The sequence below is a fragment of the Homo sapiens genome, chromosome 14 (genome assembly GCF_000001405.40).
Source record: "Homo sapiens chromosome 14, GRCh38.p14 Primary Assembly".
NCBI lineage: Eukaryota > Metazoa > Chordata > Mammalia > Primates > Hominidae > Homo > Homo sapiens.
The window spans coordinates 68,945,593-68,963,308 of NC_000014.9; the positions used below are offsets into that span (position 1 = coordinate 68,945,593).

The window sequence follows — 17,716 nt, forward strand, 5'->3', positions numbered from 1 at the left end:
AGAGACAAAGGGAGCCAGTCCAGGGTGGCAGTGTAGGAGAGGGAGAAGCAGGTGGATACAAGAGATACTCAGGAGAGACGGGGAGGAGGGGCAGAGGCCACACCCAGATTTTCAGACCTGAGCCAACAGAAGGAGGAACAGGCAGAGAGGCCACAGCTTTGCACCCATACTCCCTGCCTGCCCAGACACCTGGGGCAGCTCGCTGTTCACAGCAGTCCCCAAAGGTCCAAAGTCCTGAGGCTGCAGATCTAATTGAAAGGTCTGAGTGGAAGAGCTTCAGAGATCAGGATGTCACTCCCAACCCACTGCCCCAAGTGTTCTACCAGTGTCAACCCAATCAATCTTAACCACCCCAGAAGGCATCTCATTTTACAGATGAGAAAACCGAGGCCAAGAGCTCACAGCCACTCAAGGTCACAGCGAACAGTAGATGCAGGAGCCAGAATTCCACCCGCGGTGGCAGTCACACACTTTCAACCACAGGCTCAGTCAGCGTGACTCTCCCCAGGGCCTGGCAGCAGGTCACCGTGCCCCGGCCACACTCTCACAACTGTCCGTAACAGGGCCCCTCCGCTCACAGCCCACCAGCCCACCAGCCCACCTCACCACCACCAATCAAGTCACCCTCTGGGGGTGGGGCCCAGCAGAGGTTGAAATCCTCCTTAAGGGCCTCTTAAGGGTAAACTGGAAAGGATGACATAGTAAGGACCTAAAAGGGGTTTTCTCTAATGGACCAGGCCAACTTTGAGAAGGAGGAAGCAGACAAGGCAGTGGGACCCCAGTTCCTGGCATCATCAGCTGACCCTGGAAATACCTATTCCTCAACTTCCCTATCTGAACAAGGGAGCCAGCCCTGCCTGTGCTTCTAGAAAACTTCCCAGCCCAATAAAAAAGGCAGAGGAAGAGGGGAGAAGTGGCAGAAGTCCTACCCACAGGACTTCCAGGACTCCACCAGCAGCCCTGAGGAGGAGTCCCAGCCCCTCCCGCTGGGTCCATGCTGCCTAAGACCGCGCCTACGCTCTGACACCTGTGGATTCCCAGTGGTTCTAAGAAGCCCAAGGCCCCACATGCTCACTGGGGCCCTGGTTTTCAGAAGGCACACCTGGGGAAGCATCCTAGTGGGGCTCAGGGCTCTGTCCCACCATCCATCCCCCACTTAGTCTCTGCAGGTTCCCAAGGCCATCATGGAGGCCCTCAGCCCTCACCTCCTTCCTGTCACTCCATCTCTCTCCATCCCCACCTTCACCTTTTCCATGCTTTAGTGGAATGTTTGCAGGCACAATGGACACACATCACTGGGAGATCTCAGTTCTAAATCTGCTTCCACCACAAGGAGCTCAGGGCCTCAGGCCAGCCCCTTCAAGCTTCAGTCTCACCTGCAAAGTCTCCCACTTTCCAAGGGGCCATACTTGTCTCATTCCAATGGGCCCCCGTGAAGATGGAATGACACAGCAACTGGCAGAGCAATCTGAGGGAAACGGCATTTCCCAGACTGGCCCGATTATAAAAAAGGTTAAAAGTAGAGACCCCTCACCCCAACAACCACCATTCTGGTTCAGGAGTTCTGGGATGGGACTCACAGATTGGTATTTTAACAAGTAACAAGTACTCCATGTGAATCCTATAATCAGGCAAGTTTGGGCAACTCTGGGCTACAGAAATGTATATAGGAAGTCTGTCTCACCACACCTCTGTGTGGAGAAGAATGGTTCGCTAAAAGCACCCCTTGGCCCATCCACACACAAAATAACAACACACTTAGGGAGCCTACCAGGTATGGGATGCCAGCTTGGGTGGTTTACATCCATCATCTCATTTAGTCTCGGCAACAACTCTGCAAGACAGATTGTCTTTTTACAGAGGAAGAAACTGAGGCTCAGAATAAGGACCAGCTCAAGGACACAGCAAGTCAGACAGCAGAGCTTGCCTCCACACCAGTGCTGCTGGCTCCAAAGCTGGGTTCTCCCTAACACTCTGCAGTCTCTGCAAGGTGAAGTCTTCTGCAGGGAGGGGCCGAACACAGAATGCAGCTCCAAGCAGGGTTCCCGTTCCTATTCCCTCCCCCAAGCCTGGACAGGCCGGTCCCAATCATCCCACAGGAGAAAGGGGCATCCTACTGCATGGAAAGAGAAGCTCTTATTTTCTGTCCCCAAATATGAGGAATATGGAGGTCCTGGAGCCTATCATCTAAAAAGGGAAGTAGGACCCACCTATGAAACTGTCAAATAGCAATCCGGAGCAGTGGGAGTTCTGAGCCACAATGCCTGGTGCTGGAGTGAGGGGCTCCAAGGAAGGGAGTGCGAGGTCAGAGAACACGGTGTATCTGGAATGAAGCCCAAGGCACCGCCCTCATCACACACGCACATAATCCCTGCTTAGAGCACACAGCCGGCCCAAGCCAGAGTTTAGCAACTCCCATCTCCCTGGGGAGGAAGCAGTTTCCTTCTGCAGGGGAAGCTGCTGCCACCCAACCAGACAACCTCACACGCAGCCTCTCCCAGGGGAGTAGGGCTTGGATGGACAGAAAGCACACAGAGGTCCTAGGAAGTTGGCCTTCTGCAGGGAGTCCCCCCCAGGCCCTTCCACTTAGCAGAGGCACAACGGTGACAAAAGCTGACATTCACTGACACTTACCTACGCACTTTATAACAATGACCCCATTTACTCTTCACAACAAGCTTATTAAGAAGTAGGGTTTTCTGGCTGGGTGCGGTGGGCTCACGCCTATAATCCCAGCACTTTGGAAGGCCAAGGTGGGTGGATCACCTGAGGTCAGGAGTCCAAGACCAGCCTGACCAACATGGTGGAACCCCCGTCTCTACTAAAAATACAAAAATTAGCCGGGCATGGTGGCGAGCGCCTGTAATCCCAGCTACTTGGGAGGCTGAGGCAGGAGAATGGCTTGAACCCGGGAGGCAGAGGTTGCAGTGAGCCGAGATTGCACCGCTGCACTCCAGCCTGGGCAAAACAGCAAGACTCCATCTTAAAAAAAAAAGAAGTAAGGTTTTCTGATCCCTATTTTAGAGACGGAAAAACAGGCTCGAGAGGGTTAAGTAAGCCGGCTAGCAAAGAGCAGGCCCCAAACCAAAAGCCAGGAGTTCTCCAATGCCAAATCCCAAATTATTTTCATGGCCTCTCTTTCTCTGTAACTGGGCATCCAGGAAGTACAGGCTACCAGACCAGCCACTACCAGGCCACAAAGAAAAACAACCAGCAGCTCTGCTCTCAGAGAGCTGTGATCTAGCTGACAGAACAGACACACTGCCTCCTGAGGCGCACGGGGCACCCAAAAGACAGCCACGTGCAGATCTCTGCCAGGGGGTCAAAGCAGCTCATAATGAAGCTCGAACCAGTGAGCCCACAGAGACCAGTCAGCTGTGCACAGGGCTCTAGCGAGGAGCTGCTCTGGGGCCCAACTTGGTGAAAGCAGGCATCAGGACAGGAGCTCCTGCTCTGTTAGCAAGAAATAGAATTTTCCTCCAAAGGAAGCTAGGAAGTTTTGCATTAGTCTCTGTAATTAACGGGCCAAAAATCTTTTTCACACTAACCCTCTGGGAGAGCCTCGGAGAGAAAAACAGCCCAGGACAGGAAGAACTGGAGGCAGGGGTGGGGGAGGTCATAAGAAGAATGGGCCTCTAGGTCCCAAAGTAAGCTCGGGGTCCCCGTGCCTCCCCAGGGCTCCCAGAAGCTGCATCCCCCTTCCCCAAGTCCAAAACACGAGGAGGTCAGGAGGAAGGAAGGGTGGGGACCTGGCCCAAAAAGGCCCTTCTGCACCACAAGATTCCAAAACTTTTCATTAGCTCTGCAGCTCCACAGTGTGCCCTCGGGGACCCAAATGGCCAGGCCAGCCCTAGCCTCTGCAGACAGCTACTGTGGCAGGCCTGGCGCTGGCAGGGGGAAGGGGTGGTATCCAAAGCCCTCTGCTGACCTGTCAACACTGCCCAGGGGACCCAAGGTGCCTGAGAAGCACAACCAGTAACAGCATAAAATATAGCAGTACTACTTTCTGAGCATATACACAAAAAAATTAAATGCAAGGACTCAAACAGGTATTTGTACACCCACATTCACAGCAGCACTGTTCACAACGGCCAAAAGGGGGGAACAACCCAAATGTCCATCAACAGATGAACGGAGAAACCAAACATGGTCATACATACAATGGACTATGATTCAGCCTTAAAAAGGGAGGAAATTCTGACACATGCTGCAACATGGACCAACCTTCAAGACATTCTGCTAAGTGAAAATAACCCAGACACAAAAGAATAAATGCTATATGATTCCACTTACATGGGGCCCCTAGAGTAGTCAAATTCATAGAGGCAGAAAGTAGAATGGAATTATCAGGACTGGGGGTCAGGAATTGTTCATGGGTACAGAGTTTCAGTTTTACAAGATGAAAAGAGTTCAGAAGATGGGGCTGGGCGCTGCGGCTCACACCTGTAATCCCAGCACTTTGGGAGGCTGAGGTGGGCGGATCACAAGGTCAGGAGTTCGAGACCAGCCTAGCCAACATAATGAAACCCCGTTTCTACTGAAAATACAAAAACTAGCCAGGCATAGTGGCAGGTGCCTGTAATCCCAGCTACTGGGGAGGCTGAGGCAGAAGAATCACTTGAACCCGAGAGGAGGAGGTTGCAGTAAGCTGAGATTGTGCCACTGTACTCCCAGTCTGGGTGACAGAGTGAGTTGTTGTCTCAAAAAAAAAAAAAAAAAAAAAAAAAAGAGTTCAGGAGATGGATGCTGGTGATGGTTACGCAACAACATACATGTACTTAATGCTGCTGAACTGTACGTACACTTCAAAATGGCTAAAATGGTAAATATCATATTATGTATCTTTTACCATAATATATATGCGTGTGTGTATATATATATATATAAATCAAACATATAAAATCTGTGGTATAGAAAAATAACAGTGTTACCTGTGGGGAGTTGTTTTTTATTTTACCACAAGCATGTCAAACTTTTTTTTTTTTTTGAGACGGAGTCTCACTCTGTCGCCCAGTCTGGAATGCAGTGGTATGATCTCGGCTCACTGCAAGCTCCGCCTCCCTGGTTCACACCATTCTCCTGCCTCAGCCTCCCAAGTAGCTGGGACTACAAGCACCCGCCACCACGCCTGGCTAATTTTTTGTATTTTTAGTAGAGACATGGTTTCACTGTGTTAGCCAGGATGGTCTGGATCTACTGACCTTGTGATCTGGCTGCCTTGGCCTCCCAAAGTGCTGGGATTACAGGCATGAGCCACCACGTCCGGCCCTAAGCATGTCAAACTTTTATCATAAAACAAAACAGATATTGAAGACTTGTAAATCAAAAACATTTCAAATTGTGATTCAGGAGGGTGTTTAAGACCTCCAGTTAGAGGGGGGCAATGTTATCACCTGCCTGCCCTCCTTGCCACCAGCACCAGCCTGCCTGCAGAAGGCCAAGAAACTCTCCCAAGAAGCGACGAAGGCAGACGAACGGCAGGGCAGCTGGATAGCACAGGCCTTCCCTGGCCCCCCGCCCTTTGAGAAACAGTGGCAGGGAAGCGCCACCCATGGCCAGAGGCAACGGGGTGACGGGCAGGCTCCTCCCTGGGCCCTGACTCCAGGGTGACTCAGGCGCTGGTTTCCCCGGAAGGAAGTGAGCCAGCCGACTCTCTTTTTCCCTTTCTAGGAAGACACAAGGGAATGACTTGGCCCAATCCCAGGGGCCCAGCCTTTTTACTCAGACTGTTATGGAGAAACCACCCCACCGTCCTCCACTACAGGAGAGGAAGCCAGAGTGAGGAGGGAGAGAAAGAGGAAACAGCTCATCCCACAGAGGAAGATACAGAAAAGGGGAGGCACAATGGACAAGACAGGGCCTTCTCTTTCTAACCTCAACTCCCAACATAAATGCCCAAGGAGGGATGCATGGAAGCTCTGCAACCCCACAGACTTGGGCTCTGGTCCTGACGTTCCCGCTGACTAGCTGTGTGCCCTTGACTCCGTTTCCCCAACTCTAACGTGAAGGTGATGCAACATTTGATATCCAAGGCCCCTTTCAGCTCTGAAACTCCAGGCTCCTGTAAAAGCCGGGTGATGGGCTGGGACTGAGGAAGGCCTGGAGAAGACTGGACGTGGTCTTGGAACAGGGAGAGCTTTGGGTGTGGAGACTCGTGCCTGGTACCCCTCCCAGAAGTAATGGCTCTAAGTGCAGCACCAGTGTCCCCACCCTCAGGCCAAGTAACCCCATCATTCATTCACTCATTCATTCGTTCGTTCATTCATTCAAGATTTTCTAAACTCTTACCCTGTGCCAGGTACTATACTAATGCTGGCAAACAGCAGTGAACAAGCGCAGCCTTGTGAACTTCCCATTGGGTCTGAAGATCTTTCACCCTACTCCCTGTCCCCAGGGCCGGCCCTTTAAGGGAGTAGAGCATGGAAGAGCAAAACAAACAGTAGCCAAAAGGGAAGCCACATGAAGCTGGCAAAAGAGCAGTGAGCCAAGCTGAGAGCTGAGGGAGGTCTGGTTCAGTCTCCAGCTTTCCGGGCCTCAGTTTCTTTATCTGACAGAGGGGGCTGGCTCTGGTTTCTGTGGGACCTTCCAGCGCTGGTAGTCTAGACATCCTAGGGATTGACTCAACTTCTCAATCCTGGGATCGCCAGAGGGAGGCCTGCTGGAGGCCAGCCCTGGGCAGCTTCTGACAGGCCCCAGCTTGGACTCCGCAGCAGCAATGACCCACCCGGGACCCTGCGGGCTGCAGACAGGTCGAAGTGACAGGCGGCCAACGGCAGGGAGTTCTGGGGCACAAAGAATACAGCTTCAGCCTGGCAAAGTCCAGCTGCTGGAGGCTGCCTGAAAGCAAACATCTGGCTTTAACTGCAGAGATAAAATGGATGTCACATGCAGTTTTCTCCAAGTTGTAACTGTCGGGCTTGGGATGGGGTCAAAGAATGAGAAGGAAGGTAGATATGTGCCCTGTCCCTGTGCCGCAATGCCTAGTAGGGGAAAGCGGCATCCCGCCCACCCCCCATCCCTGCTGGATTTTAACCATAAACACAGCCCTTTTCTGAAGGCACAGGCTTAACACAAACCAGATGCGGTAGGGACTTTCCCCCACCCCCTACCTTGGCCCTAAAATTAAACGTTCAGTATCTTCTCTGCCAAACCTCACTTGAAGGCCGAGCCTTAAAGAGCCAGAGCCTCCGGTTCTCACCCTCACACACTCTCAATCACATCTCCACTTAAACAAAATGTCAAAGTCCCCCAAATGGAAAGTGTGGATGGAGCAGCCCCCAGGAGGGCCTGACACCCAAGCAGGGCACGGGCAGATTTGAAAGGAGAAGGAATGCTGATCCTCCACCACCAGTGACGCCACCAACCCAGAAGGGATGGAAAGGGTTTCCTGAGAGGGTCGGGGGGATGATTTCCCATCCCTAGGGGCATCTGCCACTGGAACGCAGCCAACCCACAGGGAGTCAGCCTGCGCACCCACCCCTGTCCCCAGGGGACTCTGGAGATTCCTGGAAGAGCTTATTTCCTGGACTTCAGTTTCCAATCTCTAGAAAACAGGGTGAATAACAGACATCTTATTTAACTCTGAGCTCACTCACAGCTGTGATGATCTGAAAATCCCTCTTAGGCAAACTCAACTCTCCTGGTCTTCCTAGGTTTCCCCAATGCCGGGCTGGTTGTTTCCCTGTCCTGAAAGCTCTCCTGGTCCTTCTTCCAGCCCCAGCTAAAGGCCCAAACCACTCCACCCACTCCCTACCCTCAGCCTCCATGTCCCCCACTCCATGCCTGAGCCATGCATCAGCCTCAGCACTAATCAGCGTGCCCAGCACAGGGACATCTTATCTCCCCAGCAAAGACACATATCCTCTGCCCTTAAGCTCAGAGGACCACATCTTACACTGTGCGTACTCCGCAGAGCCTGGCAGTGCACAACACACACTAAAGATGCTCAAAGTGGGTCATTCAATCTCACCCAGTTGCCATGACTCCTTAAGAAAAGGGACAAGTGACCAGGCACGGTGGCTCACGCCTGTAATCCCAGCACTTTGGGAGGCCGAGGCAGGCAGATCATGAGGTCAGGAGTTCCAGACCAGCCTGGCCAATATGGTGAAACCCCATCTCTACTAAAAATACAAAAAAAAAAAAAAATTAGCTAGGCGTGGTGGCATGCGCCTGTACTCCCAGCTACTCGGGAGGCTGAGGCAGAAGAATCACCTAAACCCAGGAGGTGGAGTTGCAGTGAGCCAAGATCGCGCCACTGCACTCCAGCCTGGGCGACACAGCAAGACTCTGTCTCAAAAAAAAAAAAAAGAAAAGGGACAAGTGATAGTAGAAAAATATTTGAAGAGGAATGATGCTTCAGATAGAAATTCTCTGACTTGCCATAAAATTTAAATACTAATTTTTTAAAATAATGAATCCTCTAGCCTTAACATAGCCATTTGTATTTTTACATATTATCTTCCTTATTTACACTACTTACTACACTATCTTCCTTATTTACAGTACGATCAATTATAATGTATTACTCTTTAGTGTTCTCCGACTTTCAACAGTCTGTTGAATATTTTATTCCTGTATAATCTTCCTAATTATCATTTTTAAAGGCTGCAAAAATACTACACCACCATGATGTATCAGGATGGATAGTTTGTTAAATTCCTTCCCCAGGGTTAGTTAGATATGGAAGCACTTTTTTCCCCCAGTTTTGCTGTTACACACAGAGAATTTATTTATTTATTTATTTATTTATTCTGAAATGGAGTTTCACTCTTTTCACCCAAGCTGGAGTGCAGTGGTGCAATCTTGGCTCACTGCAACCTCCGCCTTCCAGTTTCAAGAGGTTCTCCTGCCTCAGCCTCCCGAGTAGCTGGGATTACAGGCACCCGCCACCGAACCGAGCTAATTTTTGTATTTTTAGTATAGACGGGGTTTCACCATGTTAGCCAGACTGGTCTCGAACTCCTGACCTCATGATCCGCCCACCTTGGCCTCCCAAAGTGCTGGGATTACAGGCATGAGCCACCACACCCGGCCCATACAGAGAATATTTTTAAGCATGTCTTTCTTTCAGCTGGACAGTTTCCTTAGGACACACTCCTGGGGGGTGAAATTACAGGGCTAAAGGGTCTGAGCATTTTCATAGCTTTTGCTGCATCAACAGCCATGATGCTAACCTGAAGGCTGTGCCAATGTGCAACACCTTAAGAAATGAACACATCACTCGCTCTATTAGAACCTTGCCCTGGTCAGACTTTTTTTCTTTTTAAAAATTGTTCCTCAGCTAAGTTGCTTTGACTGGAAGATTTTGCCTTCTCTGGGCCTCCAGATGAAGTGTCCTGGAGATCCTTTTTCTTAAATCTTAGCTTCAAGTCCCAGCTCCTCTTTACTAATCCTTCTCGTCAACCTAGTCCACTCTGATGCAAGCAGACCTGTAACAGCTCCCCTGGCAGCCTCCATGCCACACTCAATTCTGCTCCCCCATCATCAGCCTCCCTCTATTTCTGAGCTTCCTGGTCCCCATATACACTGTGGCCTCCACATCTACCCTATGAAGCTCCCACAGGGAAAAAGAGGGAAGCAGCCAGAGGGTTTCTTGACCTAGAGCCTCCAAAATGAACCCCAGGTGTGGAGTCAGTAGGAGATTGCATGTAAACTGAGTCCTGCAGGCCTCCTAGGCTTCCCATTGCCTGGGAATGTCTCAAGGGAGCTGTCTGAGTCTATCCCAGCAAAACACACAACTGCTGGCAGACCCCCAGGCTGAAATGATCCAGTCTCATGACAATGACTAGGCGCTCACCGTGTCTAGAGCCAACCCAAACCCCTACTGTCACGCGGTTTGAAAGAAAGCTAGAACCCAGACAACAGTCCACAGTCAGAATTTGGCTCAACTGAGACTAGAGGATCAGAGGTCACTCCGGTGGGCCAACCAGGGAAGCAGGGCGAGGCAGGAAGCAGAAAGTTAAAAAGCCCTCTCTCCGCAGGAAACCAAACAGAGTTGGGCAGGTCATTGAAGGACACAGATGTTTGCGCTCGGTGGCAGGGGAGGACCTGCTGAGCAGGGTGAGAGGGATCAGTGGGCAGGGTGGGCCACCTGCCTGATATGGATGGCCCCTCAGAATCCCTGGGATGAATCACTGATCAGCAGGGCCTCCACTGCTAGCACTGCAGTGTTGCTTTAAAGCAGCCTTGCAGAGAGCCAACCAGACCACGTGCTCCAAATCCAAAAGCAGTTTACAACCAGGAAAGCAATAACAGATTGCCTTTCCTTTCTTCACTTTTGCTCTAAGTCATGGGGGTTTGGCGTCCAGAAGAAATACTTGATTCACATTTGGGGGTGGCTAGTGAATTTACGGTCTAAGCCACAAGGAGACAAAGCTTCATTAAGAAGGTCCTGGAGGAAGAGTAAATAAGAGTGAAGCAGCTGGAGCCAGGCACAGTGGCGCACACACTATAGTCCCAGCTACTGAAGAGTCTGAAGCAGGAAGACTGCTTGAGACCAGGGGTCCAAGGCTGTCGTGAGCTATGATCATGCCACTGTACTCCAGCCTGGGTTACAGAACGATGAAGACCCTGTCTCAAAAACAAAAAAAAAGAGGCTGCACAGTGGGTTACTTCTGTATTCCTAGCACTCTGGGAAGCAGAGGGAGGGGGATCGCTTAAGTCCAGGAGTTTGAGACCCACCTGGGCAACATGGTGAGACCCTGTCTCCATTTTCATAAAAAGTGAAAAACATTAAAGGGGGAAAAAATGTAAAGGAATTGAGTTCATTTAGCTAAACTCTTTCCATTCAGACTGAAGCAATAATATTCCTCCAGATAATCCTTCATAGGGTTATCTAGCTTTATCTAAAAATTAAGTAGGGCGCTTGCTGGAAATGCAGATTTCTGGGCTCTAACAGAGCATTTGGTTCAGGAGGTCTGGAAAAGGCCCAGGAAGCTACAGTTTTACACAAACCTAGGTGGTCCACGGGCCATCCTATAAGGAATATAGCCTTGGAGTGAACCTCTCCACTTGGGTAGCAGAGGGTGGACATACCCAGGGGAGCTAGAATATCTACAAGGAAGTTGTGGTCACCTGCAGCGAATGATCACTGAATACAGCTTAGGCAGGAGGCCCCTCATTGCATGACCCACCTCCAATCCTCATCGCAAAGGAACCTCTCCTTCACAGACCAAAGCACAAGTCACTCTTGTCTCCTCAAGTCCCTCTCTCTCTCTCTCCCAGTTACCATGAATCTTAGTTGGACCAGCCTTTAGAGTTCATTGTGGTTTTCTGGGTGGGGAGAGACAAAGCGGGTAGAGTGTCTAACAAACCAGACAGAACAAATCAATCCCAGCCCATCCACATGGCCACAAGCTGGAGGCATCACGAGATCCCAACAGGGAGCTCTTCACCCAAACAACACAAACAGCAGCTGAGACATTCCAGTGGCTTCCCCCTTCTCTGCCCCAAGGAAACATCCCCAAACCAAGATTCTCTCTGGTGAATCCCATGGTTCCAAAGTTCTAATCATCCACAGCCCCTGGAAATTGGAAAACTGAAAGCTGTTTGCAACTATGTGTCAGATGGGCTGGCCGGAGGATACACAGCTCTAAGAACATCGAGCATCTATCTTGAAGGCACATCTCTAACAGAGTCTGTCTGAGAGTTCCATGCATGGTAAGAGGGGTTTGGATAAGATGCCATCATTTAGGCATTCATCCCCTCTTCCCCCAAGAGACACCTGTGACCTCCAGCTGTGGTCCCTGCCCAGATCCCACCCAACTCAATGAAACTGCTAGAGTGGCAGGAGAGGGGGCCTTCTGTGCATCAGCTCCTATATGCTGAACAATGACTCGGCCATCAGGTGTGCCACTGCTGTGTGCACAGTGCCCAGCACACCTGCCATGCCCATTCTGGCATTTAAAGCCATCCGGGAACTCTTTGATCAGTCATTACAGTTCCTAAGGACTGAAGCCTCGCTCTCTATTTGAGGTCAAGTAATTCCACGAATGGACCATCTTCTTCCTGCCCCATATTCTGGGAAATTCAGTCTGACATGTAACTGCTTAGGTGATGGTGGAGCTACCCAGTAACAGAAGCAACTCTGTGGGTTGCAGGGGGTCAGCAACCCTCAGCCCACAACCAGTACCCTGGTCAAGAGTTCAGCAAGGCATCTGGCCAGCATGGGAAGGGGTCTCCCTGCCCTGGAAGCTTCCTCCTAATGACAGGGGAGTAGAGGGGCGTGTCTACCTGGCCCAGAGAATGTCTGGTTCAGCGAAGTGAAGAGAGGGAAGTGAGAGACGGCAGGTTTAGGTTCTCATTTATGATCGCTCGCACTTCCCTTCCATTTTACCAAACACCCTGGCTCTCCAGACAAGCCTCAGAGCCAGACAGGAACTTGAGGAACGTGGTCAGGAGTCAGATCTGGGCAAAACTTTCCCAGGCGATTCCACCACTTCTCACACCGAAGCGCATCAGCCCGGGGTCCCGACCTCTTGGGTTTCACGCCTGGCAGGTGGTAGCTGTTGAGGAATCTACTAAGAAGCCAATCAGTGATAATTTAACATTTCCTCCCAAACATTTAGACATTTAAAAGTTTTCTAAACCGCTTTCTATGATTAACAGATTAATAGGTTAACAGGGCCTTCAAAACCTTAGAAATGTATGCTCAGAGGCAGACAAATTAGTGGCTGAGAAGACCGTTTGAGGCAGAGGAAAATCAGGTGCCCCATGCACCTAGACAGACTACTAGCAGGGGACTGTCCGAGGCTCAAACCCCTGCCTGACAAGAGACGAGTTCACTGCAGCAGTGAACCAGGTGTGTGCACCAGGCCACACACCTCTGTGCTCTCAGGGTGGTAGAATTTCTGCTAATTCTTATTTTCTTCTTTGTAGTTTGCTGTAGTTTCCAAATTTTCCACAATAAATATTACTTTCCTTTTCAATTAAAAAAAAAAACAGGTGGCACATTAAGCTGGTCAGTCTTTTGAAAGCAATTGATTCACATGGAAAAGGACTCAGAAATGATCCTTTCCGAGTATGATCAAAAAACCCAGCTCCTGGATATTATCCAAAAATGCAGGAAAACATCCACATGAAAGGAATATTTATAGAGGCATTATCTACGATAGGCCAAAACTGGAAACCACGGAAGTGTCCAATAATGGAAGAATTATTAGCAGAGGACATGCCAGCAGCCAGGGCGTGAGGCAGCTGGTAAGGGGGACTTGCCCAGGCCCAGCCCCGACTGACCACACTGTTTCCTTCCTGAAGGGCCTCATCCCAGTTCTGTGGGCAGATCCCAAACTGCTTCTAGAAGACAACTTTGGCCTCGACAGCCATCCTTCTGGAAAGGGAGAGTGGGCCAGGCTCTCATTTTCATAATAAAAAAGCAGCTTTGCCCTTCACATGCTTAGCACCCAAAACAAATATTCAGGTTGGTGCAAAATTCCCATTACATTTAATGGCAAAACCCGCGATTACTTTTGCACCAACCTATTAGCTCTCTTTTCTGTGAAGACCTCAGAAAACCTCTGAACTCAGAGCCAGGAGTCCACACAGCCTGCTCTCCAGCTCCTGTCAAACAACTGCCACGACAGAGTCTCCAAGAAGTGCTCAAGAGTATCTCAAAGGACTTGTGCCTCTCTGAGGTTAAACCTCTGGAAACAGTGGAGCTCGAGTTCATTGCCTCAGCTCCCCACAGAAATGCCTTCCTACAAGTGTGATTTAACACCATACCTGTGGCTTTCAATGGGAGCTGATTTAAGAAACAAGTATACAAAAAGTTTCTGTGTGTTCCATGAAACTAATACTGACAGCACTGTTTACTGCACCACTCTCCTAAAATGGTAAAACTCAGCTTTTAGTGCTTACAAAAAGTGCCCCTTTCTCGTGAACTGGTATACTTTCTTTTACTAAGAAATAAACACTTGATACTTCCAAGTTCTCTTTTTGCTTCGGCTGCCAGGAAGCTCAGAACCAGGGTCAGGGTTGACTTACAAAAACTAACCTCTTTTAATATTAGGCTAGGCGAAATAAGCAAGACATAGCAAATACTGCATAATCTAACTTGTACATGGAATCTAAAAAAATCAAACTCATAGAAGCAGAGAGTAGAATGGTGGTTACTAGAGCCAGGGGGGTTGAACGAAATGGGGAAATGTTGGTCAAAGGGTACAAACCTTCCATCAGGATAGTTACTATTTCTAATAATCCTACAGTTGAGTCCCCAGAACATGTGGGTAAGAGGCAACGACCCTCACACTCCCACTATGCAGTAGAAAATCCACATATAACTGACTCCCCAAAAACTTAACTGTTGTAGCCCAGTGTTGACTATAAGCCTTACCTATAACATAAACATTTGATTAAAAACACATCGACATCCATGTTGTATGTTACATACTGCATTCTTAAAATAAGGTAAGCTACAGAAAAAAATGTTATTAAGAAAATCATAAGGAAGAGAAACTATATTTGCTATTCAGTAAGTGGAAGTGGATCATCATGAAAGTTTTCATCCTGGTTGTCTCCACATTGAGTAGGCTGAGGAGGAGGAGAAGAAGGAGGACAGCTACTGCTGTCTCGGGGTGGCAGAGGCAGAAGAGGTGGAGGAGGAGGAAGGGGAGGCAGGAGAGGCAGGCACAGTCGGTATAACTTTTATGAAAAAAAATCTTGTAAGTGAACCTGCACAGTTCAAACCTGTGATGTTCAAGGGTCGGTTGTATATTGTTTATTTGAAATTTGCTAAGACAGCAGATCTTAGTATCCTCATCACATATACATACATACAAACAATGACAACTATGTGAGGTGATGGATGTGTTAATTAACTTGATTGTGGTAATCATGTCACAGTGTACATGTCTATCAAATCATCACATTGCATAACTGAAATATATATAATTTAAAATTTTCAATTTTACCTCAATAAAGCTGGGGGAATTACATTAAAATTTCTTAAAAACTAACCTCTTTTAACATTGTTTTCTTAACAATTGTCTCACCTCCACTATGACATAGCTCTGGATCTTCTAACTTTAATTTAAAACTCTGGCCCAGGCACAGTGGCTCCTACCTGTCAACCCAGCATTTTGGGAAGCCAGGCGGGGAGGATCACTTAAGGCCAGGAGTTTGAGAGCAGTCCTGGTGACTTGACAAGAACCTATCTCTATTAAAAAAAAAAAAAAAAATTAAACAACAAAAAACTTCTGAAGGAAGGGGGTGTGGTGGCTCACATTGGTAATCCTGGCACTTTGGAAGGCCGAGGTCAGATGACTTCTTGAGACCAGGAGTTCGAAACCAGCCTGATCAACATAGCAAGACCCTACAAAAGAATGTAAAAATTAGCCAGGCATGGTGGCATGCACCTGTAGTCCCAGCTACTCAGAGGAGGCTTAGGTGGGAGGATCCCTTGAGCCCAAAAGTTTGAGGCTGCAGTGAGCTATGACAGCACCACTGCACGCCAGCCTGGGTAACAGAGTGAGACCCTGTCTCTAAAACGAAATAACAAAAAACCCTGTTATACACGAGACTTTTAATATATCCACCTCAAATGCTTTTTGGAAAGAGGCAGGAAAGTACAAATAAACATGTATTTATGAAACAATCTCTATACTTGGATCTCACTTTCTCCAGGCAAGGAACATAAAGGCTGTGTAACTATATAAGAAAAAGTGTTTTTGATAAAATGCCAAGTGGGGAAATAAAAAAGCAGAGCTAATTTTTATGTACACTATGATTACCGCTATCAGAATAATGCAGGCATGAAGATTAAAAATAAAAATAGGTTTCTGAAAATATAAATGGTTATGTTTAGGAGAAAGGGTCTAAGATGGTCATTTTTCTCCCCTAACTTATCTATCTTCTCAAATGGAAACAGAGGCCCATGTGGGTGAAGCAAGTAAGGCAAGCAGAGGCTAGAAACGCAGTGTTCCCCTGGGTGTTCTGATGCATCTCACAGGCCGCCACACGGGGCACAGGGCGCGGGGGCACGGGGGTGGGCTATAGGCCCTATGTGGATCCTGAGGGACCAGCCCCCAGTGGGTGGTGCCATGGATTTCACAGGGTCTTGGATAAAAATGGCTTGTACACTCAAGTCACAGCTGTTTGAGATTCTTGCAATACCCCCGACATGTTCTGATCACTCCCTCACAACTGGGCATCTGGGGAGGGGCACAGAAGGAGGAGGCAGGAGCCATGACCCTGGCTGGCCTCAGATGCCTAGGACTTGGTGGGCAAACTAGTTGCTCCTCATCCCTCCAGCACCAGATCAGAAGCCACTCCCCACGGGAAGCATTCCTCATCCACCTCCAGAAACTACCCCCACGCCCGACCGACAGGCATTCACACCCACCCAGCCTGTACTTCTCCTTCACAAGACACCCTGAAAGCTTGCCCTCGGCACCCATCTACCCCCTGGACCACAAGCCCTGGCCCAGTACAGCTGTGGCTGGTGTGCAGCCCACATCAGCTGAGTGGCCGGCAGAGAGAATGGCTCACCCTCTGCAACACAGCCAAGGTTTAGCCAACTAGGCTAGCAGCTTCCCCGAGTCAGGATCCCCACTGATGCCAGAATGGCTGGCAGCTGCCTTTATTGCCCTGCATCTTTTACGACAAGAGCCCACATCCAGGGCACGGGCGCCTGGGTGGTCTGAGGAGGGGGTAGAGGCAGGGTCCACTGCTCAAATTCCCGCCTAGCCTTGGCGAGCAAGCAGGAGAGGCAGGGCTGACTCACCAGCTCGCAGGTGGAGTGAGCTCATTCCCTTCCAGGGCATCCTTGGAACTGGAAACCCACGGCAGTGATGGTTCCCATGGCAACGGGCCAGCACCTCCTCCACAGCCGCCTTCCCAGGAGCACCATTTGCCTGTGCCCACAGGTCACTTACCCACCCTCCCCAGCCTAAATCTCAGAACTCAGAGTAAGGAGAGGCCTTGAAGGCCAGGCAATGCAGAGCCCTCCTCCCTCCACACCCCAGCCCTGCCTGCTTCCAACCTGAGACTACTTCAACACATTTAAGACCATGAAACTCTCGCCCAACCATGCATCCCTTCTTTGGAAGGCTGTTAGAAATTCTATTCTGAGCCAGATTCCATGTCCACACAACTCTCACCAAGTCCTACTTCTCCCCATTGGGTCAACCCAACACATCCCCTCTTTCAAATGACAGCCTGGAGCCTGCTCTAAGCAGCCCAGGTCAATCAAATAGTCCTGATACAGTTTCTGCCCTTCCGCACCCGCTGTGTGGGTTTCTTTGCATGGGATTATATTGGTCTATAATCCTCTCAATGTGTGGAGTCTAATTCAGGCAGCCACGCACTGAGCAGGTCTCAGGACAAGCCTGGTGCCTGCTACTGCCCTAAAGATGCCCAGAGCTTGTCCCTCACTGATTCACCAGTCCTCACTGTTGCCCACTCCCAAATATCTTTCACTCCAGCTGCACCCAGCCCACTCCTCACTCACCTCCTGCCCCTCCCTCCCCAGAACTTTGCACTCCCTTTTTCTTACCTTTGGTTACACCCTTTGCAGGCCCACCTCCCCTTGACCCTGCCCCCGCACCCGCTTGGCCTGACTCACATATTCCAGATTTGATTTTTAGCTCACATGATCACCTCCTCCAGGAAGTCCTACCTGTCTCCTCCAGGATGGGCTGGAGCCTTCCTTGGAACTCCATTCTCTATACCAGATGTGATATCTTTGTATATGACAAGGAAATTGCCCGTCCCTGGGTCTCTC

General features: G+C 49.6%; 1 protein-coding gene across 22 annotated transcripts in view, besides 9 other annotated features; it reads right to left on the minus strand.

Annotated features, from left to right (window-relative positions):
- ACTN1 (actinin alpha 1) overlaps nt 1-17,716 on the minus strand; it is a 105,175-nt gene that overhangs the window by 71,465 nt on the left and 15,994 nt on the right. The window lies entirely within an intron of this gene.
- Nucleotides 2,497-3,045: an enhancer, noted in NCBI's record as "H3K27ac-H3K4me1 hESC enhancer chr14:69414806-69415354 (GRCh37/hg19 assembly coordinates)". NCBI's record gives its function as "activates a minimal SCP1, AML or CMV promoter by ChIP-STARR-seq in primed H9 embryonic stem cells {active_cell/tissue: H9 hESC(primed)}" and the evidence as "EXISTENCE:reporter gene assay evidence [ECO:0000049][PMID:30033119]".
- Nucleotides 4,903-6,102: an enhancer, noted in NCBI's record as "P300/CBP strongly-dependent group 1 enhancer chr14:69417212-69418411 (GRCh37/hg19 assembly coordinates)". NCBI's record gives its function as "activates an origin of replication core promoter dependent on BRD2, BRD4, P300/CBP, MED14 and CDK7 cofactors, with strong dependence on P300/CBP, by STARR-seq in HCT116 cells {active_cell/tissue: HCT116}" and the evidence as "EXISTENCE:reporter gene assay evidence [ECO:0000049][PMID:35650434]".
- Nucleotides 4,903-6,635: a biological region, named in NCBI's record as "P300/CBP strongly-dependent group 1 enhancer GRCh37_chr14:69417212-69418411".
- Nucleotides 4,922-5,779: an enhancer, noted in NCBI's record as "H3K27ac-H3K4me1 hESC enhancer chr14:69417231-69418088 (GRCh37/hg19 assembly coordinates)". NCBI's record gives its function as "activates a minimal SCP1, AML or CMV promoter by ChIP-STARR-seq in primed H9 embryonic stem cells {active_cell/tissue: H9 hESC(primed)}" and the evidence as "EXISTENCE:reporter gene assay evidence [ECO:0000049][PMID:30033119]".
- Nucleotides 5,780-6,635: an enhancer, noted in NCBI's record as "H3K27ac-H3K4me1 hESC enhancer chr14:69418089-69418944 (GRCh37/hg19 assembly coordinates)". NCBI's record gives its function as "activates a minimal SCP1, AML or CMV promoter by ChIP-STARR-seq in naive and primed H9 embryonic stem cells {active_cell/tissue: H9 hESC(naive and primed)}" and the evidence as "EXISTENCE:reporter gene assay evidence [ECO:0000049][PMID:30033119]".
- Nucleotides 6,636-7,493: an enhancer, noted in NCBI's record as "H3K27ac-H3K4me1 hESC enhancer chr14:69418945-69419802 (GRCh37/hg19 assembly coordinates)". NCBI's record gives its function as "activates a minimal SCP1, AML or CMV promoter by ChIP-STARR-seq in naive H9 embryonic stem cells {active_cell/tissue: H9 hESC(naive)}" and the evidence as "EXISTENCE:reporter gene assay evidence [ECO:0000049][PMID:30033119]".
- Nucleotides 9,118-9,844: an enhancer, noted in NCBI's record as "H3K27ac-H3K4me1 hESC enhancer chr14:69421427-69422153 (GRCh37/hg19 assembly coordinates)". NCBI's record gives its function as "activates a minimal SCP1, AML or CMV promoter by ChIP-STARR-seq in naive and primed H9 embryonic stem cells {active_cell/tissue: H9 hESC(naive and primed)}" and the evidence as "EXISTENCE:reporter gene assay evidence [ECO:0000049][PMID:30033119]".
- Nucleotides 9,845-10,570: an enhancer, noted in NCBI's record as "H3K27ac-H3K4me1 hESC enhancer chr14:69422154-69422879 (GRCh37/hg19 assembly coordinates)". NCBI's record gives its function as "activates a minimal SCP1, AML or CMV promoter by ChIP-STARR-seq in naive H9 embryonic stem cells {active_cell/tissue: H9 hESC(naive)}" and the evidence as "EXISTENCE:reporter gene assay evidence [ECO:0000049][PMID:30033119]".
- Nucleotides 16,322-17,017: an enhancer, noted in NCBI's record as "H3K27ac-H3K4me1 hESC enhancer chr14:69428631-69429326 (GRCh37/hg19 assembly coordinates)". NCBI's record gives its function as "activates a minimal SCP1, AML or CMV promoter by ChIP-STARR-seq in naive H9 embryonic stem cells {active_cell/tissue: H9 hESC(naive)}" and the evidence as "EXISTENCE:reporter gene assay evidence [ECO:0000049][PMID:30033119]".